The sequence below is a fragment of the Homo sapiens genome, chromosome 15 (genome assembly GCF_000001405.40).
Source record: "Homo sapiens chromosome 15, GRCh38.p14 Primary Assembly".
Lineage (NCBI taxonomy): Eukaryota > Metazoa > Chordata > Mammalia > Primates > Hominidae > Homo > Homo sapiens.
Genome location: NC_000015.10, coordinates 85,651,635 through 85,671,445, shown reverse-complemented (window position 1 = coordinate 85,671,445; position 19,811 = coordinate 85,651,635). Strand labels below are relative to the sequence as shown.

At 39.2% G+C, this 19,811-nt stretch overlaps 1 protein-coding gene across 3 annotated transcripts in view, besides 2 other annotated features; it reads right to left on the bottom strand.

Moving 5' to 3' along the window:
* Nucleotides 1-19,811, bottom strand: part of AKAP13 (A-kinase anchoring protein 13) — a 368,756-nt gene that overhangs the window by 77,913 nt on the left and 271,032 nt on the right. Inside the window, exons 11-14 of one of the 3 annotated variants that reach the window (NM_007200.5) lie at nucleotides 15,659-16,029; nucleotides 12,856-12,909; nucleotides 6,691-6,883; nucleotides 1,616-1,724 (exon numbers count right to left, since the gene is read on the bottom strand). In NM_007200.5, the coding sequence (NP_009131.2) occupies nucleotides 1,616-1,724; nucleotides 6,691-6,883; nucleotides 12,856-12,909; nucleotides 15,659-16,029 (727 nt within the window). Of the gene's footprint in view, nucleotides 1-1,615; nucleotides 1,725-6,690; nucleotides 6,884-8,992; nucleotides 9,059-12,855; nucleotides 12,910-15,658; nucleotides 16,030-19,811 lie in introns of all 3 variants that reach the window. The other 2 variants (NM_006738.6, NM_001270546.1) reach the window with 2 other exon arrangements.
* Nucleotides 3,189-3,358: an enhancer, noted in NCBI's record as "experimental_42301 CRE fragment used in MPRA reporter constructs". NCBI's record gives its function as "activates a minimal promoter by MPRAs in K562 erythroleukemia cells, with activity observed for both the introgressed and non-introgressed 15:86211404 variant alleles {active_cell/tissue: K562}" and the evidence as "EXISTENCE:reporter gene assay evidence [ECO:0000049][PMID:34662402]".
* Nucleotides 18,654-18,948: a silencer, noted in NCBI's record as "tiled region #7683; K562 Repressive non-DNase unmatched - State 22:ReprW". NCBI's record gives its function as "represses a minimal TATA promoter and a strong SV40 promoter by Sharpr-MPRA in K562 cells {active_cell/tissue: K562}" and the evidence as "EXISTENCE:reporter gene assay evidence [ECO:0000049][PMID:27701403]".

Sequence of the window (19,811 nt, the reverse complement as noted above, 5' to 3'; positions counted from 1 at the left end):
TTTTTTTTTTTTGAGGCAGTGTCTCACTCTATCACCCAGGCTGGGATGCAGTGGTGCCATCACAGCTCACTGCAGCCTTGACCTCCTGGGCTCATGATCCTCTTGCCTCAGCCTCTGAAGCAGCTGGACTACAGGCATGTGTCAGCATGTCTGGCTAGAGTCATCCATTATGTCTTAATTCCACTGTGAAAATTTTAAAAATTAGGATTCCAGTAAGTCATGAAGTGAGATGGAACATCCCATGAATATAGGGCATCTGCTTCTGTCACCAACTCTTAAACTGAATTATATCAGGGAACAATGAGGAAACCCCATAAACACCAGGAGAGTGTGTTTATTTCCTTTGCTTCAGCCTCCGAGACACATGGTCTTTCAGCAAAGAACATAATGTATCACTCACTCCCTCTCTGATGAGAATTTAATCTTTATATCCAGATCCCACACAGCAACTACTCATAAAAAAATCAACATTTAAAAAATAAAAAATGAGGCTTCTCAAAGAACAAGTTGCCTTTTTTGTGACAAACAACACTGATCCAATCCAAGTATGTTTTTGAGCATCACAAGGCCCTGCGCTTATGGATGCCATGACATCTCTACATAACTTCCAACACCAGTTGATCTGAATCCGCATACAGGTCCACTAACCCCTTTCAGATGCAATCCTACTGGCCCTCACTGAACTAAATCTCTGTCTCAGTCTTGCTTTGTCCTTCTTGAGCTTGACATTGTTGAAAAGCTCAGGTCAGTTACTGTGCGAGGTTTCTCCACTGACAAGTTTATGGAAGACAGAGATCAACTGAGGAACTTTTTAGATTAAAGTGGACTAAAGAGATATGACAACTTAATTCAATGTATATTCTTAGATTGAATCTTGGACCCAGAAATAAGTGAGAAAATTTGAAATCTGAATAAGGTGTACATACTAGATAACACAATTTTATCGATATTAATTTCCTGATTTGGATAATTAGACTACTGTAATACAGTACTACCACAGTATATAAGAGTATAAGGTACTCTTATATACTAATGCTAGCACTCAGTAGCCAGAGAAGGCCAGTATATGGTACCCATATACTATGGTAATATAAGACAATATCTTTGTTTTTAGGAAATATACACTAAATTAGAGGTAAAGGAGAGTTATGGATATAACTTATTCTCTCAAGTGTTTCAGAAAAAATCTTTAGGGGAGTGATAAAGAGAGGGAGAGAGGCTGGCGAAACAAGTATTCTAACATTTGAGGACTGGACGTGAAGAATACATGGGAATACTTTGTACTATTTTTGCAATTTTTTCCCCAGTGAATATTATTTGTAACTATTTTTCAAGTCTAAAATTATTTCAAAATAAAAAAATTTTAAAAAGTGTGTCAGATTCATGCCCACAAATACAATAAACTTAATGTATTAGGGATATTTTTAGGTAAAAGGAAGAAGATCTCAAGATAAACTCTATGCCACCTTTTCTGTTTAAGTGCTGAGCCATTCACTCAAAGAAGTAGTAAGCAAATTTTGGCAGGTAATGTTATGGGGCCTTAAAGTGAGAAAAATAATAGGAAGAGTGGTTAAGATTTAATATATTTAATTTTTTTAAAAAGTAGTATACTCACTGTCCAATCCAGGATGGCTGATTGTCATTAATGAGATGGATTTTGTCAATGGAGAGGAAATGGCTGATGTACAGTAATTAAATCCCTGCTGCTTAGATCTGTGACATATCTGTGAAGTAAAAAAGTGAAGAACACGTTGTAAGCATATACTCTCATATTTCTAGATAAGCATAAAACCTTATAATTAGACCCACATAGTAAAATAAGGCAGTGAAGAAGCGGGTGAGAGCACAGGCCTTGTGGTCAGACAGACTTAGGTTAAAGTCTGCTCCTGCTACTTAACAGCTGCTCAGTTTCAGAGAAGTTACTTAGCTTTTCTGAGGCTTAGTTTTCTCATCTGTAAAATGGGGATCATTAGAGTATCCATTCTTTACAGTGGTTCTGTATCCCTCATAGCATCTAACAATGTTTCAAACTTAGTAAGTACTTAATAAATATCTGCTGGATGCATAATCACTTAAAAATAATTTCACTGGAAATATCAAACTACATACAATACTTGTTCTTTGAAAATCTAAATATTTCTTCATACAGATATAGTAGAATATCAGTAATAGTATTCTGATTTTACTTTATTTATTATTATTTTTTTTTAGACAGAGTCTCACTCTGTCACCCAGCTGATGTGCAGAGGCATAATCTTGGTTTACTTACTGCAACCTCTGCCTCCAGGTTCCAACAATTCTCCTGCCTCAGACTCCTGAGTAGCTGGGATTACAGGTGCGCGCCACCACGCGCAGCTAAATTTTGTATTTTTAGTAGAGATGGGGTATCACCATGTTGGTCAGGCAGGTCTCGAACTCCTGACCTTGTGATCCGCCTGCCTCGGCCTCCCAAAGTGTTGGGATTACAGGCGTGAGTCACCGCACCCAGCCTATTTTTATTTTTGAGACAGAGTCTCACTGTGTCGCCCAGGCTGGAGTGCAGTGGCATGATCTCGGCTCATTGCAACCTCTGCCTCCCAGGTTCAAGCGATTCTCCCGCCTCAGCCTCCTGAGTAGCTGGGATTACAGGGGTGCACCACCACGCCCAGCTAATTTTTTGTATTTTTGGTAGAGACAGGGTTTCACCATGTTGGCCAGGCTGGTCTTAAATCCCTGGGCTCAAATGATCCACCCATCTCAGCCTCCCAAAGTGCTGGGATTATAGGTGTGAACCACCAGGCCTGGCCTCTGATTTTAAATAATTGGAAATTGAGATTCAAGTAAAGTGTCTTAAGATCACAAACAAAACAACAGTGTATCTGGAAAGAAGCCTAAATCTCTTCCCTATCCTCTTCTAAGATGATAGTGATTCTACATGAACGTAAAGGTAACTGAAATTTGATAATTTAACTCTCTCAGTAAATTCACAGCAGCTTTGAGACCATGTAATCCAACCACCTGCAGAAGTTCCTGGTACAACATCCCTGAAAGACAGTCATCTAGTGTCCACTAGCACACTTCTGGTGATAAGAGCCCATTCCAATTGTTAACTGACTTTATCATTAATCCTTTCCCTTCACAGAATGAAATCTGCCTCCTTATGACTCACATATTGAAAGGGAAGCAGTGAAAAATCCGTTACTAGCATGAACTTGACTCACTTAGGCCAGACTTCTGATTATTTAGAGCTTGTTTCATGTGTAACCATGGCAGCTGAGGCAAACAGTTGCTATGTTTCAAATACAACTGTGAGGTCTAAAAAATGACCTCAGTGAAAGGCAGAGACTTTTAACAGGAAGTTGGCTACAGGCAACTCGTCTAGATCAGAGTGAAACAAGCAGCTCAAATGCCTACTCTGAGGTTCCATACAAGATAAAAACTATGGGTAAGTAGAGATTCCAGGAAGGCTAAGCATAGCAAGGCACTAAAACAACAACTTTATCTAGAAAGACTGAATCAGAAAGTCCACTTCAGAAAGACAGTCCATTTTAGAAACACATCAGTAGTAGTAACGTCTTACTAAAATGCAGGGTTATCTGTCAAATTCCCGGAAATATCCATCTTAGAAAAGGTATCACATAAATAATATTAAGAAAATTAAATCATTCTTATTTCCTCCTTGAAAACTCACCTACTCCAAAAACCTGGAAAAAAGCAGAGAAATTAATAGCCAGGAACTCTTGAGTTTAATACTGTTCAGCTAATAGCCACTTACACGGCCTTAGGCAAGTCATTTAAATGAGCTGGAGCTAAATCTGAAGGGATATGTCAGTCTTGGCCTATGATTCTGTTTACAAATCCACAATTTTGGTATTTTACCTCATCTTGTAAATGATTTCCAAAGGATTCTATAAATTTGAAATGCAATTTATTTTAAAGATTTTTTCACTGTTTATTTACCCTTAGCAAAGCTGTGCTCAGTAGCCATCCAAGAATTGTTCCTATTTTTTTCTTCCTTTCTCTGTTACCATTAGGCTGAGTAAATCTAAATCACTTGCTTCAACAAGCATATTCTTCATATTCTTATTTTTTCTAACTCCTTCTGAAGTATCAGAACAAGTAGAAAAATTTTTAAAAGGGGCAAAATTCACTCTTCAACTGATTTTCATTATGCCTAAATCTCTTTATTTGTCTGGTCTCACACAAGCATAAGTGTTACAATAATTACTAAGATAATCCTTCAGTGTCAAGTTTATATTTGGTCATGTTAGTGCTTCATAGTAGGATGCAATAAAAATTTAAACTTCTACACAAAGTCCTACTCAGCAAATCAAGGAAGAGGTTGTCAATGTTTTTGTTTAATTAGAAATGTATCATTAGATTCTTGCCTCAAACTCCAGTCATCTATTCAAAAACAGTTTTTTTTTAAATTGTAAGTGTTTCATTTGGAGGAAATAAGATGCATCCCAGAATGCTTTCGTAAATTAATCAGTCTTCTGACCCAAGAGGAAGAGAAAAGACTTGCAGTGAGGTACAATGATATAAAAGCAAATAATTTGAATTCTCAACTCAAAAGCTCCCCAAGGGATTGTCAAAAGTGGTAAGTGATAATGAGGACATCCAGAAGATGAGAACTAAGAAGTCACTTTGATTTGGCTGACATGGAAATCCATGACCTTCAAGACAGGAGTTTCAAGAGACTGGTAGCAGCAGAAATTAAGAGATGATTAGATGGTGATAAAGAGAAGGCAAAGGCCAGGCACAGTGGCTCACACCTGTAATGCCAGCACTTTGGGAGACTGAGGCAGAAGGATCACTTGAACTGGGGAAGTTGAAGCTGCAGTGACCTGTGATGGCACCACTGCACTCCAGTATGGGCGACAGAGTGAGACCCTGTCTCTAAATAAGTAAATAAATAAATAAAATTTTAAAAAGAGAAGGCAGGGAGCATAGATGCTCTCTTAAGAATTCTGGTAGGCATCAGAGTGAACAGGCGACCTACAGAAGGCAGAAAATTTTTGCAATCTACCCCTCTGACAAAGGGCTAATATCCAGAATCTACAAAGAACTTAAAAAAATTTACAAGAAAAAAAAAACTCCATCAAAAAGTGGGTAAAGGATATGAACAGACACTTCTCAAAAGAAGACATTTATGCAGCCAACAGACACATGAAAAAATGCTCATCATCACTGGCCATCAGAGAAATGCAAATCAAAACCACAATGAGATACCATCTCACACCAGTTAGAATGGTGATCATTAAAAAGTCAGCAAACAACAGATGCTGGAGAGGATATGGAGAGATAGGAACGCTTTTACACTGTTGGCGGGACTGTGAACTAGTTCAACCATTGTGGAAGACAGTGTGGCGATTCCTCAAGGATCTAGAACTAGAAATACCATTTGACCCAACGATCCCATTACTGGGTATATACCCAAAGGATTATAAATCAAGCTACTATAAAGACACATGCACATGTATGTTTATTATGGCATTGTTAACAATAGCAAAGACTTGGAACCAACCCAAATGTCCATGATAGACTGGATTAAGAAAATGTGGCACATATACACCATGGAATACTATGTAGCCATAAAAAAGGATGAGTTCATGTCCTTTGCAGGGAGATGGATGAAGCTGGAAACCATCATTCTGAGTAAACTATCGCTAAGGACAGAAAACCAAACACCGCATGTTCTCACTCATAGGTGGGAACTGAACAATGAGAACACTTGGACACGGGGCGGGGAACATCACACACCGGGGCCTGTTGTGTGGTAGGGGGCTGGGGGAGGGATAGCATTAGGAGAAATACCTAATGTAAATGACGAGTTAATGGGTGCAGCAAACCAACACGGCACATGTATACCTATGTAACAAACCTGCACGTTGTGCACATGTACCCTAGAACTTAAAGTGTAAAAATAATAATTTTTTAAAAAAAGAATTCTGGTAGGGATGGGAAGGAGAGAGAATCAACTGACATTTCCTGGAAGGTGTAGTAAGAAAGTTTTGTTTTTAATTTTTTTCCTACAAAGGAGAAACTTGGGATATGTTTTAGAGAATTGGGAAAATTAATAACGATATGTAGCGTATTTCAAGATTCAGTTTACTATTGAGAGGGTAAAAGATGGTCTCAGATAAGAAGGAAAAACTCAATTTAATATCCTGGATACTTTCCTAATTTTAAAAAGTGTGCCTTGATGGAATATTTAAATCTATGCAGATTAACGTAGTCTTTATTTTTTCTTTTTTCTTTTTGGAGACAGAGTCTTGCTCTGTCACCCAGGCTGGAGTGCAGTGGTGCAATCACAACTCAATGCAGCCTTAAACTCCTGGTCTCAAGTAATCCTCCTACCTCAGCCTCCCGAGTAGCTGGAACTACAAGCACAAACCACCATGTCCAGCTAATTTTTAAATTTTTTGTAGAGATGGGGGGTCTTGCTATGTTGCCCAGGCTGGTCTTGAACTCCTGGGCTCAATTGATCCTCCTGCCTCAACCTCCCAAAGCACTGGGATTATAGGCATGAGCCACCATGCCTGGCCCTTTTTAATTAGGTGCTAAACACTTGGTTTAGTGCTAGATTAAGTATATCATATAATGGGTAAGTAATCATAGCTACTAGCCTTATACTACCAGAAGCCTTGCCTTCTATGTTCATATTTTGTGAAATATATTTTTTCCAAATTAGACATATTTAAGACTTACCTGCTGATCAAACATCCTATGTTCTCTCTGGTCTGACTCCAGATCCTCTTCTGAAAGTGACACCAAAGAGTCAACCCGTTCCTCACCACTGAATGGGTGTCTGAGCTCTTCGGCATTTGCAGAGCTTACTTCTAGAGATGAGGATGGCTTGTTTCCGACACCAGCTCCTCCTGTCAAGCCTTCTAGACTGAAACTGAACATAGGGCACAAAAGTTAATTCATTCTATTTCTGGGTCTCAAAAACAAAGGAGGACACAAAATCCCTTTGGGTATATCTCCCTTGTTTGTGTATTATTTCTATGTCAGCTAGCAAAACTGTCTAAAAGGGCATGGCACAAAGAATACTACCTACCTTTCCCCCACAGATCTTGGAATACTGAGAAAGAATACTGCACTTAGATTTTCTTACCGCATTAAATTTATCCAAATGTTGAACCACCTAAGATCACTTCTCAGATTTTTTTCTACACACTATATGGACAGACCATAGTTATCTGATATTTTATATATGTGTTTTTTCCTTGATCTAATTAATCTTTGTGAATCTAACTCTACTAATGCCAAGTAATTAAATGTCACAGAGAAAATACGAGCTTAAGTAACTTTCAGAAGGCAAACTGGGTAACTTGCCCTTATGTCCATTAAGTGGACCTTTATAATTTTACATTCAAGTTGACCTTTATAATTTTACAGGTATGCTTTCACCCAAGAAAACCCAAGTGTTACTCATGAGTGTTACCATCTATGCACACCTGGCCAAACAACTGCTGACAGACTTCTCGAGAATTGTTAGTTGCAACAGGCACATATAACACCTTAATGAACAAATGCTGAAAAGCAACCTGGTCTAAGAGTAGAAAGAGTTGTAATTTTTTGCCTGGATATTGGTAAAGGGAACAAAGGCAGTCAGGATTTGGCATTTTAAAGAGGATTCCTCCAAGACAGATTCTGTGGTTTGCAGAATGAAAAGCATTTTCAGTAAGCAGAAGGCTACAGAGACAGGTTAGCGATTTAACCTCCTTGGGTTGCTAACTAGAGTAATTCACATCTGTTACAACTGCAGCGGAAACTTCTTTAAAATAACCAAGATCTCGAAACATAGCTGTAGCTGACCATGTTCTCCGCTAACAATGAGCTGGAATTCAATCTGAAGGTATACTGAAGCTACTTAGTTACCTCCACTCAAGGAAAACTGTACAGAAAATTGCTCCAATTAAGTTCATACCTACCAGTCCAGGACTTGTATTTGCTTTTTTAAATTATTTATTTATTTATTTTGGTTTTGTAAATAACTTAACGAACTGAAGCCATATAACTCTATTTTCTCTAGTAGGTAAACTAAACAATGGATATGTTTTTCTTCAATATAATAGAAATCATGACTAACTACAAGTAAATGACTCTGTAAACCTCATTTTCTTTCTTTTCCTATTTTTTTTTTTTTTTGAGACAGAGCCTCCCTCTGTTGCCCAGGCTGGAGTGCAGTGGCACGACCTTGGCTCACTGCTACCTCCATCTCCCGGATTCAAGTGGTTCTCCTGCCTTAGCCTCCCAGGTAGCTGGGATTACAGGCACCTGCTACCGTGTCTGGCCAATTTTTGTATTTTTAGTAGAGATGGGGTTTCACCACGTTTTTCAGGCTGGTCTCCAATGCCTGACCTCAGGTGATCCGCCCACCGCAGCCTCCCAAAGTACTGGGATTACAGGTGTGAGCCACCATGCCTGGCCTGTAAAACTCACTTTCAATACCAGGGATAAGAGGAGGGGCTAAGTGAAGAAGAAATTACTTGAAAAGCCTAAGAAAACCAGATCTATGCTTACTGCAAAACTTAATTCTGAAAATGTTTTAGTAATTAAATCTGGCTGTTCAGTTGAGAGAAGAATATGAAACGATGAGGAGTCTCTGAATTTGGAATCTACACAGAATGGTGGATTTAGAAGCATAATAGAAATCAGTGCATCTTATTAGCTGCCTTGGTTCTTTGATTGTTTTCTTCGGGTTCCAAGAATTTTTAGGATCTGAAAATCAAGACAAACCAAAACAGAGAGAGATAAATCTGTGCAGAAAACATCAAATCTATGGCCATTTGAGACATACAGGATGCATCACCCGACTCTTAGGCTGCATCCCTTCAGCTGAGTTAGTGACACCCATAGCAAAGGCAATGAAATGCTGTGCTCACAGACAAAGCAGGCTGCCCATATGCATCCCAGCCACACAGAAGCCAGCTCCAAGCCAAAAGCCCTGATGGCGTATTTTATGGTTCCCCATTTGGTGGCGGGACACATAACAATATCATACCTTCTGTAATTAAAGTCAGCACTCAGGCCAGCAGAGTACTGCACACCAGAGGGGCACCAGCTCATACTGGGGATGACATCAAAGACAGAAACAGAAATGCAGGGAGAAAAGAGGAAACAGGAATGGGGTTATTAGGTTTAAAAACGAAGGGCATAGTTAGAGACAGACGGATTTATGCGATCAACAAAAAATTTAGGAATGTAACACTGACAATTTTTAAAAAGGCTATAATAAAAAATCATAGAAACTTAAAAATATTTTCTTCTTGTCTAGACAGCATTGTGGAAAAAGACTGTGGGTTCTTTACAGTATCACCAGTTCAACCTGAAACCCAAAAATTCCTTCTAGTGAACTGTGGCAACTACCTATGGCTTGCTCTTCAGACATGAGAGGTATTTCAAACTCCACCACTGGGTACAATCTCTCAGTACATCGCATACTCCCACATCACCCTTACCATAGTATCTCTAATCCTAGACTTTTTAAAAGAGACAGTGACAAACTGTGCTCTGGTGGGCTCATGGAGTCATCCGGTTTTTTTTTTTTTTTTTCATGTGTTTCCATTACGGATCCAACCAAACCAGACATTAATAGATTCTGCATGATAAGATACTTAGTCAACACTGGCATCCATCTTCAAACCCTACTCACTAGGCTGTTACGTTAAAGATAAAGCATATAACACTGATTATATATTTGCTTATGTTTTAATGATAATGAAAACTACCCCCCAAGACGGAGTTTCACTCTTGTTGCCCAGGCTAGAGAGTAATGGTGCGATCCTGGCTCACCGCAACCTCTGTCTCCCAGGTTCAAGCGATTCTCCTGCCTCAGCCTCCCGAGTAGCTGGGATTACAGGTGTGCACCACCACACCCAGCTAATTTTGTATTTTTTTTAGTAGAGATGGGCTTTCACCATGTTGGTCAGGCTGGTCTCAAACTCCTGACCTCAAGTGATCCACCCGCCTCAGCCTCCCAAAGTGCTGGGATTATAGGCTTGAGCCACCGCACCTGGCTGATAATAAAAATTTAAAAAAAAGGAATTCTATGGCACTGAGTTAGAAATGTATCTTTTTAATTTCAAGTTTGTTTCCATTTTTCCTACAAGATAAAAAAAATCCATCTGATCATCTACTTCCTTGAATATCCCAGTAGCGGTGTCCATTATCAAGTAGCAAGGACAGAAAATCTGGGGTTGGAAATGCTAAGTAAACACCACTAGCTAAAACAATAATCAATTCAAAATATTGTGTGTTCTATAAAGGAAACTGCATGGAAATGTTGGGATTTTTATTAACAAAAGCTATCATTAAAAAAATACCCTGCTACCTGGGCCATAAAGTTCTAGGTGATGTGTTTTTGTTTTCTGAGAAGAGATAAAAGCAGAGCTTGTGGACAATAAAAACACTCGGCTCAATAAAACCACTCGGCTCCCTCCAGAATCTTGCAGATGGGAAGGCCTGGCACCAAAAACACCTATACTGGACACATCTAATAACTTTGTTTTGTTGTCAAGTGGGGTTTTTGGCTGGAGAAAGGAGACAAGGAAAATGGGTGGGAGGATGTAAGAGCTACCCCTATGGCTCTTTTAAAAAATCTTTACCATATCATTTAAAACTAAATAGTATAAAACATTTTAAATCAGATTAAATTAGTGGTATAAAGCTTACAAGTGCAGAAGCAGAAAGTAAAAATATAGTGGAGACACTTCGCTGGTCTGGTAAGTGGGATGACACTGACATAATTTACTTGTGTGAGGAGAAGATATATATTTTACAAACACAGATAAGACTCAGAAGTCCATTCTTTGACATTATTAACTTAAATTTTAAATCGCCAGTTAATAAATAGGCATATTTTTACCTAAATATCCAACTTCTTTTTTAGAAACAGAATGTGGCAAATCAGTAACTGAACATACACTGCCAAACCATCATTCTTAAAAATAATCTCCTTCTACAGATTTAAATGTTCCTTTACTTCCAGGATATGACAATGATGTGGAAGACTGTGAGGAGATTTAACACGAAGAGAGTGAAAAACAATAGGGAGATAGGAAGACAGACATAAAAGCTTTTTTTTTTTTTTTTTTTTTTTTTTTGAGACTTAGATTCACTCTGTCACCCAGGCTGGAGTGCAGTGGCACCATCTCAGCTCACTGCAACCTCTGCCTCCCAGGTTCAAGCAATTCTCCTGCCTCAGCCTCCTGAGTAGCTGGGATTACAGGTGCATGCCACCACACCTAGCTAATTTTTGTGTTTTTAGTAGAGATGAGGTTTCACCATGTTTCCCAGGCAGGTCTCAAATTCCCGGGCTCACGCAATCCATCTGGCTCAGCCTCCCAAAGTGCTGGGATTACAGGCGTGAGCCACCGTGCTCGGCCAAGATATAACAGCTTTTCTAAGGTACCAGGAAGGAAGCTGCAGATGGTCTACAACGTCTGCCCTTTCTGGTAACAGAAAACTCCTTTCATAATTAAGAGTATTTTGGAAAGCATCGTCATTTCCTCAATTCCTCAATTAGTAGGGATAATATTTAGTAGTTCTTTGGCTTTGAGATTTGTAAAGTTCTAGATTAAAAAACAACAAATGTCCCTCCTCCTGCCTTATAATACCTGTTGTAATGTTTCAATTTTATAAAATTTTAAATTATACATTACGTTCTTCCTACAAAAATAAGTTTCACTAGGGATGAAACTGGCTGGAGTTGTTGATGACACTCCATGTATACACTAACTCAGACTGCATCCAGCAATCTGTCGTCTCCCACCTTGTCATCAAGTGCATGTTTTTAATAAGCTCATATTGAAGAGCTTTAATAAAGACCCAGACAAACGTATCTCCAAAGAACCTTCTACTGAAAAACTTATTTAGTAGAGATGGGGTTAAAACTTATTTAACAACTTATTTTCTGGAAGAACAATTTCATAGGAATCATGATTATCTGAAATTCATGAGAATATCTGAATTTCAGCTCAATTTCTTGCCTAAAATCTGGAATTAAAGAAAGCATCCACTTGAAAAAGACAAAGTAGGAAAGATCACTATTTGCCCACTTGCCAACAAACAGGTTCAGCTAATAGTTAAAAATACTTCTTTACAAATGCCTCCTGAGAAACTAACAGTAATATAACCCTAATTTTTGGATTTCTAAATATTTTTCTAAACAATGGAAGGTCACTAATGACTTCTAAAGAAAATCCAACGGAAAATTTGAAGCAAATTAGCAATCTGACTAGAAATTACTTCTCAGCTTATAAATCGTTTATTTTTAGCTTCAAAATATTACCTGACAAATACTAATTAAGGAATTCAAAGGCCAAGGAATGAACTTATGCCTCTGACTTGCTTTAAGAAATGACTATATCCACAATGGAATGGAAAATGCCAGGTGGCCTAGTAATAAAGTCTTTCATTACATTATTAAACAATGTGTTGACAATACTTTAGGGCCTGTGCACAAGCACACACACATTCCTGGTTTTTCTTTTGTGGAAAAGAAAAAAAAAGTACTCCCCAGGGTCCATTAAATAGGCACGACATAGACAATTCTTCGAACTCTCCTAGAGAAAGCTAGGTGAGACCCTATTCTCACAGTCATCTGAACAACAATAAGCACAAGATTTAAAAAAATTAAAAATAATTTTTAAAAAAGATAAAATAGCATAAAACTTCAAATTAAAGAAACCATTTCATATAAAATGGACACTAGCAATTAATAAGTACCTATATTTTATTTGCCTGAATTAGATGGGACATTACTTAAAAGTAGATGATCCAATCATGGATTAAGCAGAATGAGATGCTTGTTAGTATATGCTCAGAGGTGACATGGTTAGTCCATCAAGTTAATGAACTCTGTACCTTCTCCTATGAATGGGAGGTCTCCTGACAACATCCCCAAGAACTCGCATTGAACTGAAAATGAATGGTGAAGAGGTCAGTGTTGCAGGTGAAACAAAATGGGATACAAATGCATGAAACATACAGACACCACACTGGGGAGAGAGACACTGCTCAAAGAGAAATGGCACAGGCAAGAGAATGAAGGAATGTGGAATGAGAAAAACATCAGGACCAAAAGGGCCTGACAGTTTCTGTGGAGGGCTACTTTGCTCCTCCCCTTGCTCCAAGGAGTTAATCAGATGGCAAAAGTTACAAAGTTTATTAAATTATTAAAGAATCAGAAAAAAATTACTACTCAAAGCTTTAAAGGGGTTTTTCTTAACACTTTAAAATTCAGGTTATACTACATGCAGGTAATACCATAACAATTAGCCAAACTAATTAAAACCTCACTCTCATTCCATTATCTTCAGAGGTATTAGGACAGTGGTCCTAGGTAAGCCCTAGCAGTAAATTCAAACAGGAGATCCCATGACATTATGCAGGATGAAAAGAAGTAGAGTTCTAGTCTCAGTTCAGTCTAGAACTGAACTGAGATCACCATGTAATTTTGGGCAAATCATTTATTCTGAGCTTCAATTTCCTCATCTGAGCTACATGACAGACACAGTCACATGTAGCTCTAAAATCAAAGTTGTGACAAAGGAACCCATAGTGGATTATAAAGAAAAGGGGATTGTATAGAAAATAAACCCTCATTCCTTGATGCTGTTATCATTTAAGATAAGACTGTCCTGCCAAAAAAGTTACATTTGCTTCAAGCTCTGGCTGTAGGGATCATTCACCATGCTCTTACATTTTCTGTTGCTCTGAATGCTTAAAAAAAAAAAAAAAAAAAGAGTACACCACGAGCAAAACTGGGAAATTACTTTTTATAAAATCTAGGGTCTCAAACGTATATAAAAACAAGCTAGCAGAAAAAGCATGCTGCTTATTTTTAAGGTTAGCATCCTACATGCCACCATAGAATAATATGGAATTATAGAAACGGCATTTGACTAAGAGACCAGAGACCTTGGATAAATGATGCAAACTACCTGCACCAGTCTTCTCATCTGCAAACATGGGGATAATACCACTCGACTCATGGAGAGGACTGAAAAATTATATCAGAAATGTGTTATAAAGAGAGTCTGAAAAGATTAGCAAATTAGGAAAGTGTAAGAAGGTATTACTGTGAGCTCCATGCAGGCAGGGACTTTGTCTTGTTTACCTATCTCCAGAACCTAGAGCAGAGTCTGGCACATAGTGAGTGTTCAATATATGTTGGCTGAATAAATAAGTGAATGAATGTGATTACACAGCCATAATATTATCAGGAGGTTGAGAAATTTGAGCAAATAATTGCTATTGCTGAGCTGTTTACATCAATTATTATTATTACTACTATTATTATTATTATTTTGAGACAGGGTCTCACTGTTGCCCAGACTGGAGTGCAGTGGTATGATCATGGCTCACTGCAGCCTCGAACTTCTGGGCTGAAGCAATCCTCCCATCTCATCCTCTCGAGTAGCTGGGACCACAGGCATGTACTACCATGCGCGGCTGTTTTCTTTTTTGTAGAGATGGGGTCTCCTATGTTGCATAGGCTGGTCTCAAACTCCTGGGCTCATGAGATTACATCAATTGTTTTAAAACAACTGTCAGCCTCATCCCTTATCTGTTTTACTTATTAGCAAAGTAGCTTTGGAATAAGCACACTCTTGTAAATATAGTAGGCACTACCATACTCATTCTTTAAAGCTAAAACCATCTGCTTACATTTGTCTAGCCAGCCAGCAGTCAGAAGTCAAATTCAGGCCAGGCGCGCTGGCTCACGCCTGTGATCCCAGCACTTTGGGAGGCCGAGGCGGGTGGATCACAAGGTCAGGAGATCGAGACCATCCTGGCTAACACAGTGAAACCCTGTCTCTACTAAAAATACAAAAAAAATTAGCCAGGCGTGGTGGCGGGCGCCTGTAGTCCCAGCTACTTGGGAGACTGAGGCAGGAGAATGGAGTGAACCCGGGAGGCAGAGCTTGCAGGGAGCCGAGATTGCGCCGCTGCACTCCAGCCTGGGTGACAGAGCGAGACTCCATCTCAGGAAAAAAAAAAGAAGTCAAATTCGACATACCTTCATATAGCCTGCTTCCAAATTGAAGGACTGATACTGGGTCACACTTAATACAAGTTCCCACATGGGAAAATCCCAACAATTTAATGGTATGTAATGAATGTAAAATGAATGTAATGAGTCTTATATCCTCTTGAGGGTTAAACAATGATAATTTAGACTTTATCAAAACTTTCTGTATTAGAAACAGATGGTTTTAATTCTCAGAAAATACTCTGAAAGACTTTGATGTGTTAAGACTGTAAGACTTCATGTTTGTTTCTTAATTCAAAGTTGACATGAAACTACTGCCTCCAATATTTTCTCATTCATAAGTTTCATTAATGTGGTAAGAATAAACATTCCCATTTACTAAACACTCATTATATGACAATCACATTTCATTGTATTATTAAAAATAATAATGAAGGTATTTTACAGATGAGAATATTAAAGCTTAGAGGGGTCAGGTGACTTGCCCAAGGTCATCTACATAGTAAATTTTGGAGCTGGGGTCTGAACACAGATTTTCCTGATTCCAAAGCCTATATTCTTTCTTCTATACTATGGGGTCTCCTAAATTCTTTTACCAACAATAATACAAATCAGAAGCTTCTCAAAAGCAAGCAGACACTGAGACACTAAACAAACCGCCTCCCATCTCACCTCCGGTGGTTCATTTCTGCATCGCTGGCTGCATTTTTCCCAGGCCCCCAGCTGTGCCTCCGGAAGGGAGAAAGAGAGCGCATGGAGCTCCTTAGGACAGAGCAGTTTGCAGGCACTTCAGTGATACTGTCCATCTCCTCCTCCTCCACGTCGCCTGGGTCAGCAGGCTCACTCTCACTTTCTCGACCCTCAGCTCCCATCCCATGGCTGTAGAATCCATCAAGGCTTTGCCGATCTCTTGACCTGTTTGGCTTTAAAATCTGGGAGAGAGACACATCACTGCCATGAGAAGAATGTCGGTCCAGTGAAGCCGTGTCATCGGTGGATGAACTGGATCCGGTGATATCACAGGCCAAATGCTCTTCCTCTGGCTGTAATGGAGAGAAAGCACATATGGTTGAAGCCAGCAGGGCCAATCAGATAGCCTCAGTTATTCTAGATCAAGCCAATGGCTTCTCAGTGGATTCCAGGCAGGTAAGATCATAATTGGCCTCAGAGACTTGTTTTTTTAATAGGATGATCACAATTGGATTCAAATCCCCCCTGGACTCTAGAAGAGAAACAGTCTAGATCTATCCTCTTTTTTTTGTTTGTTTTTGAGACAGTCTCACTCTGTCGCCCAGGCTGGAGTACAGTGGCTCCATCTTAGCTCACCACAACCTCCGCCTCCTGGATTCAAGAGATTATCCTGCCTCGGCCTCCCAAGTAGCTGGGATTACAGGCATGCACCACTACGCCTGGCTAATTTTTGTATTTTTAGTACAGACAGGGTTTCACCATGCTGGCCAGGCTGGTCTGTAACGCCTAACTTCAAATGATCGACCCACCTCAGCCTCCCAAAATGGTGGGATTACAGGCGTGAGCCACTGCGCCTGGCCTAGGTCTATCCTCTTTTTATCCTCTTACTAGAGGTACTACACTAGAAGTACATCATTTTTTCTTTCTTTTCTTTTTTTTCCAATTTGAGACAGGGTCTCACTCTGTCACCCAGGCTGGGGTGCAGTGGTGAAATTATGGCTCACTGCAGCCTTGACCTCCTGGGCCCAAGTGATCCTCCCACCTCAGCCTCCCGAGTGGCTGGAACTACAAGCATGTGCCAGCATGCTGAGCTAATTTTTTGTGTGTATTTCTTTTAGACACAGGGTTTCACCATGTTGCCCAGGATGGTCTTCAACTCCTGGGATCCTCTTGCCTTGGCTTCCCAAAGTGCTGGGATTACAGGTTTGAGCCACCGTGACCAGCCCATTTTTTTCTTCAAGAGGAAAAATATCAAATTTATGTTAGTTCTTTCAGTAAATATCACCAACTGCAATGAAGGGAATCCATCTGTCTCTGGGTTTTTTGTATATGAAAACAAAATTTATCATGTGTTAGGTTTAATTATTTTTTATAAGCTTTAACTGAAAACAAAACAGTCTGCTTGGCTACAATAATAATATGCTGAAATTAATATTCCAAAAGGAAGTCTGTGGTTGTTTTTAGTGGCCTTCTGAAAAATGTGGAATAGCTTATGACCCCACCTAAAGTTTGCCACAAATGCATAAGTACCTGTTACAAATATCTAAATGGAAGAAAGCTATACATTTTTCTCATTTCACTGAGAACTGGCTGAGTATTATGAGGCCAAATCATACATTAAATAATCAGTCCTGGCAATGAGGTCTTTGATAAAGTGATGATGCTCTTTCCTGGCTAACCTCTAGTGCCTAACAGGTTCTGTGTAACTCTGTTCTAGTAGCCTGACATTTTCTACTTGTTGAAACATACCAGTGGCTGGGCGCAGTGGCTCATGCCTGTAATCCCAGCTACTGGGGAGGCTGAGGAAGGAAAATCTCTTGAACCTGAGAGGGAGCGAGGGAAGGAGATACCAGAACACAGAATTTGATGGGTGAGGGAAAGATGAGCTTCATGGTACCCAAAAGGCCAAAAGAAGTGTCTAAGAGATGTTTGATCATACTCTTAAGATGTGGACACTGTCTTAATAGCTATTTTGCACTCTTACGGGATGGGGGCAGGGAACAGGGAAGGGCATTTTGTAATTCTTTTTCCCTTTTTCACAATATTTTCCAAATTAGTCTACTCAATGTTTTAATTAAGGGTAAAAAAAAATTATGGTTCTTCAAGAAAGAGAAAAAAATTATGAAAATCTTTCAGCTTTGGAATAGAAAACAAGCTCTATATCTCTATACTATAAGGAGACTCTTTTTAAAGGTTTGATGTAATAGTTCAAAAGCACACTACCTTCTAAAAGCACCCTTCCTACCTTTTGGGCTTGATCTCATAAGCTAATAAGAAGGCTTTCTTTTTCCAGTTCCGTGGAATCCAGTTTCCTAGATTGTTTTTTAAGTAATGTATGGGAATGAGAGAAAAGATGCAAGGGGATCACTGGACAGGTCAAACTGAGGTCCAGATTTTCCAACGGACGCAGGCATGAGCAGCAGAATCAAGATTTGAACCCAGGCTGATTTCAACTCAAATTGCCCTATTCTGGTATCTCAATCATCTTTTTAAAAAACCCTGTAAGAACAAGATATCAAAGTCAGTATCAGAAAAGTCCCTTCACTGGGTCACTCTGTAAAATAAAACTATGGTTCACTGAGTAAATTCTAAATTGTGGTAGGTATTATTTTAAAATGAAATAACTGACTATGCTTTCTGAGTGAGGGACTCAGGGGTTTCCTAAAGGGGTCCTATTCACGGGGCAACTTTCCATGGACAAGGACAATGTAAATGGTCTCGTGAATATCTCGGCTTTCTCACTGTACTGGGTTGAATAATGTCCTCCTCAGATACAGGTCCTTCTCAGAATGTGAGCTTATTTGGAAAGAGGGTCTTTGCAGATGTAATTAGTTAAGATGAGGTTATACTGGAGTAGGGTGGATCCAAAATGTCCCCAGATCCCAACACAAATGGTGTCCCTGCAAGAGGAGAAGAGACACAAAAAGACACACAGGAGAGAATACCACGTGAAGGCAGAGGAGAGATTGGAGTGCAGTGTCTACAACCCAAGGAACACCAAGGACTGAACAAGCACCAGAGACTAGAAGAGAGGCCATTTTCTCTCAGAGCCTACAGAAGGAAAGCAGCCCCACTGACACGGTGATTAGGATCTCCAGCCTCCAGAACTGGGACCAAGTAAGTTCCTGTTGTTTTCAGCCGCCCAGCTTCCAGTAATTTGTTACAGCAGCCCTAGGAAGCTAATATACTCACGCTTAGCTGCCTAAATGTCTAATTCTCAAAATAATACCAAGGGACAAACAGAATGAACACCAATAAAGCAAAATGTATAACAAGCCTGTTCTAAAACACACAAAAAAGACTTCAAGGCAAACAAAAATTTTGAGTTAAAGTTTCCATTTATTAATTTACCATATAGCCTTCTTACAAGTTAGCTCTTCTCAGTTTGGAAACAACTCACAGACAGTTATATAGGTGCTTCTTCACTCTGGCATCCAATCTTGGAAGGATTTTGCCTTGAAAAAAAGGCCTGCTATCTCTCTGGCACTTAACGAATCTGAAGTTTATAAAACAACCATCTACCCTTTTGAGAGTCATTAAAATAAGGTGGGAAAATCTTTGGTGGCCTGTTTATACACATTTTAAAAACAAAGAGATCTGTCTAGAATATATTCTCAACACAAAGCCTTTCTTCCTAATATGTGCTTTTAACTCTGATCTCACTGAAACTACATGATTTCTACAGTCTTGCATATCTGGTAAGAATAAAGTTCACACAGAATAATATTCTTATACTCATTATTTTTACTGCAGTATGCAGCTCTTACTATGAATTGGTGGTTATTACTTGAAAAAGGAAAACAAAACATCACTGGTGAAAATGTAAAATGGTACAACCGCTTGGGAAAAGATCCGTTTCTTAGCAAACTAAACCTATACCTACCATATAATCTAAGAATTCGAATCCTAGGTATTTCTCAAGAGAAATGATATTATTTAGATTCCATTTATACGAAGTTCTGAAACAGAAAACTAATCTGCGGTGGGAAAACAGTTAAGACAGCTGTTGCCTTGAGAGGGTGTGAATGGAGACCGACTGAGAAGAGACATGAGGCAACTCCAAAGTGATGCTTATAGTCTGTACCCTGCTGCAGGCTGCGTACAAACGTGAATGAAGGCTTCTATCAAAAGTCAC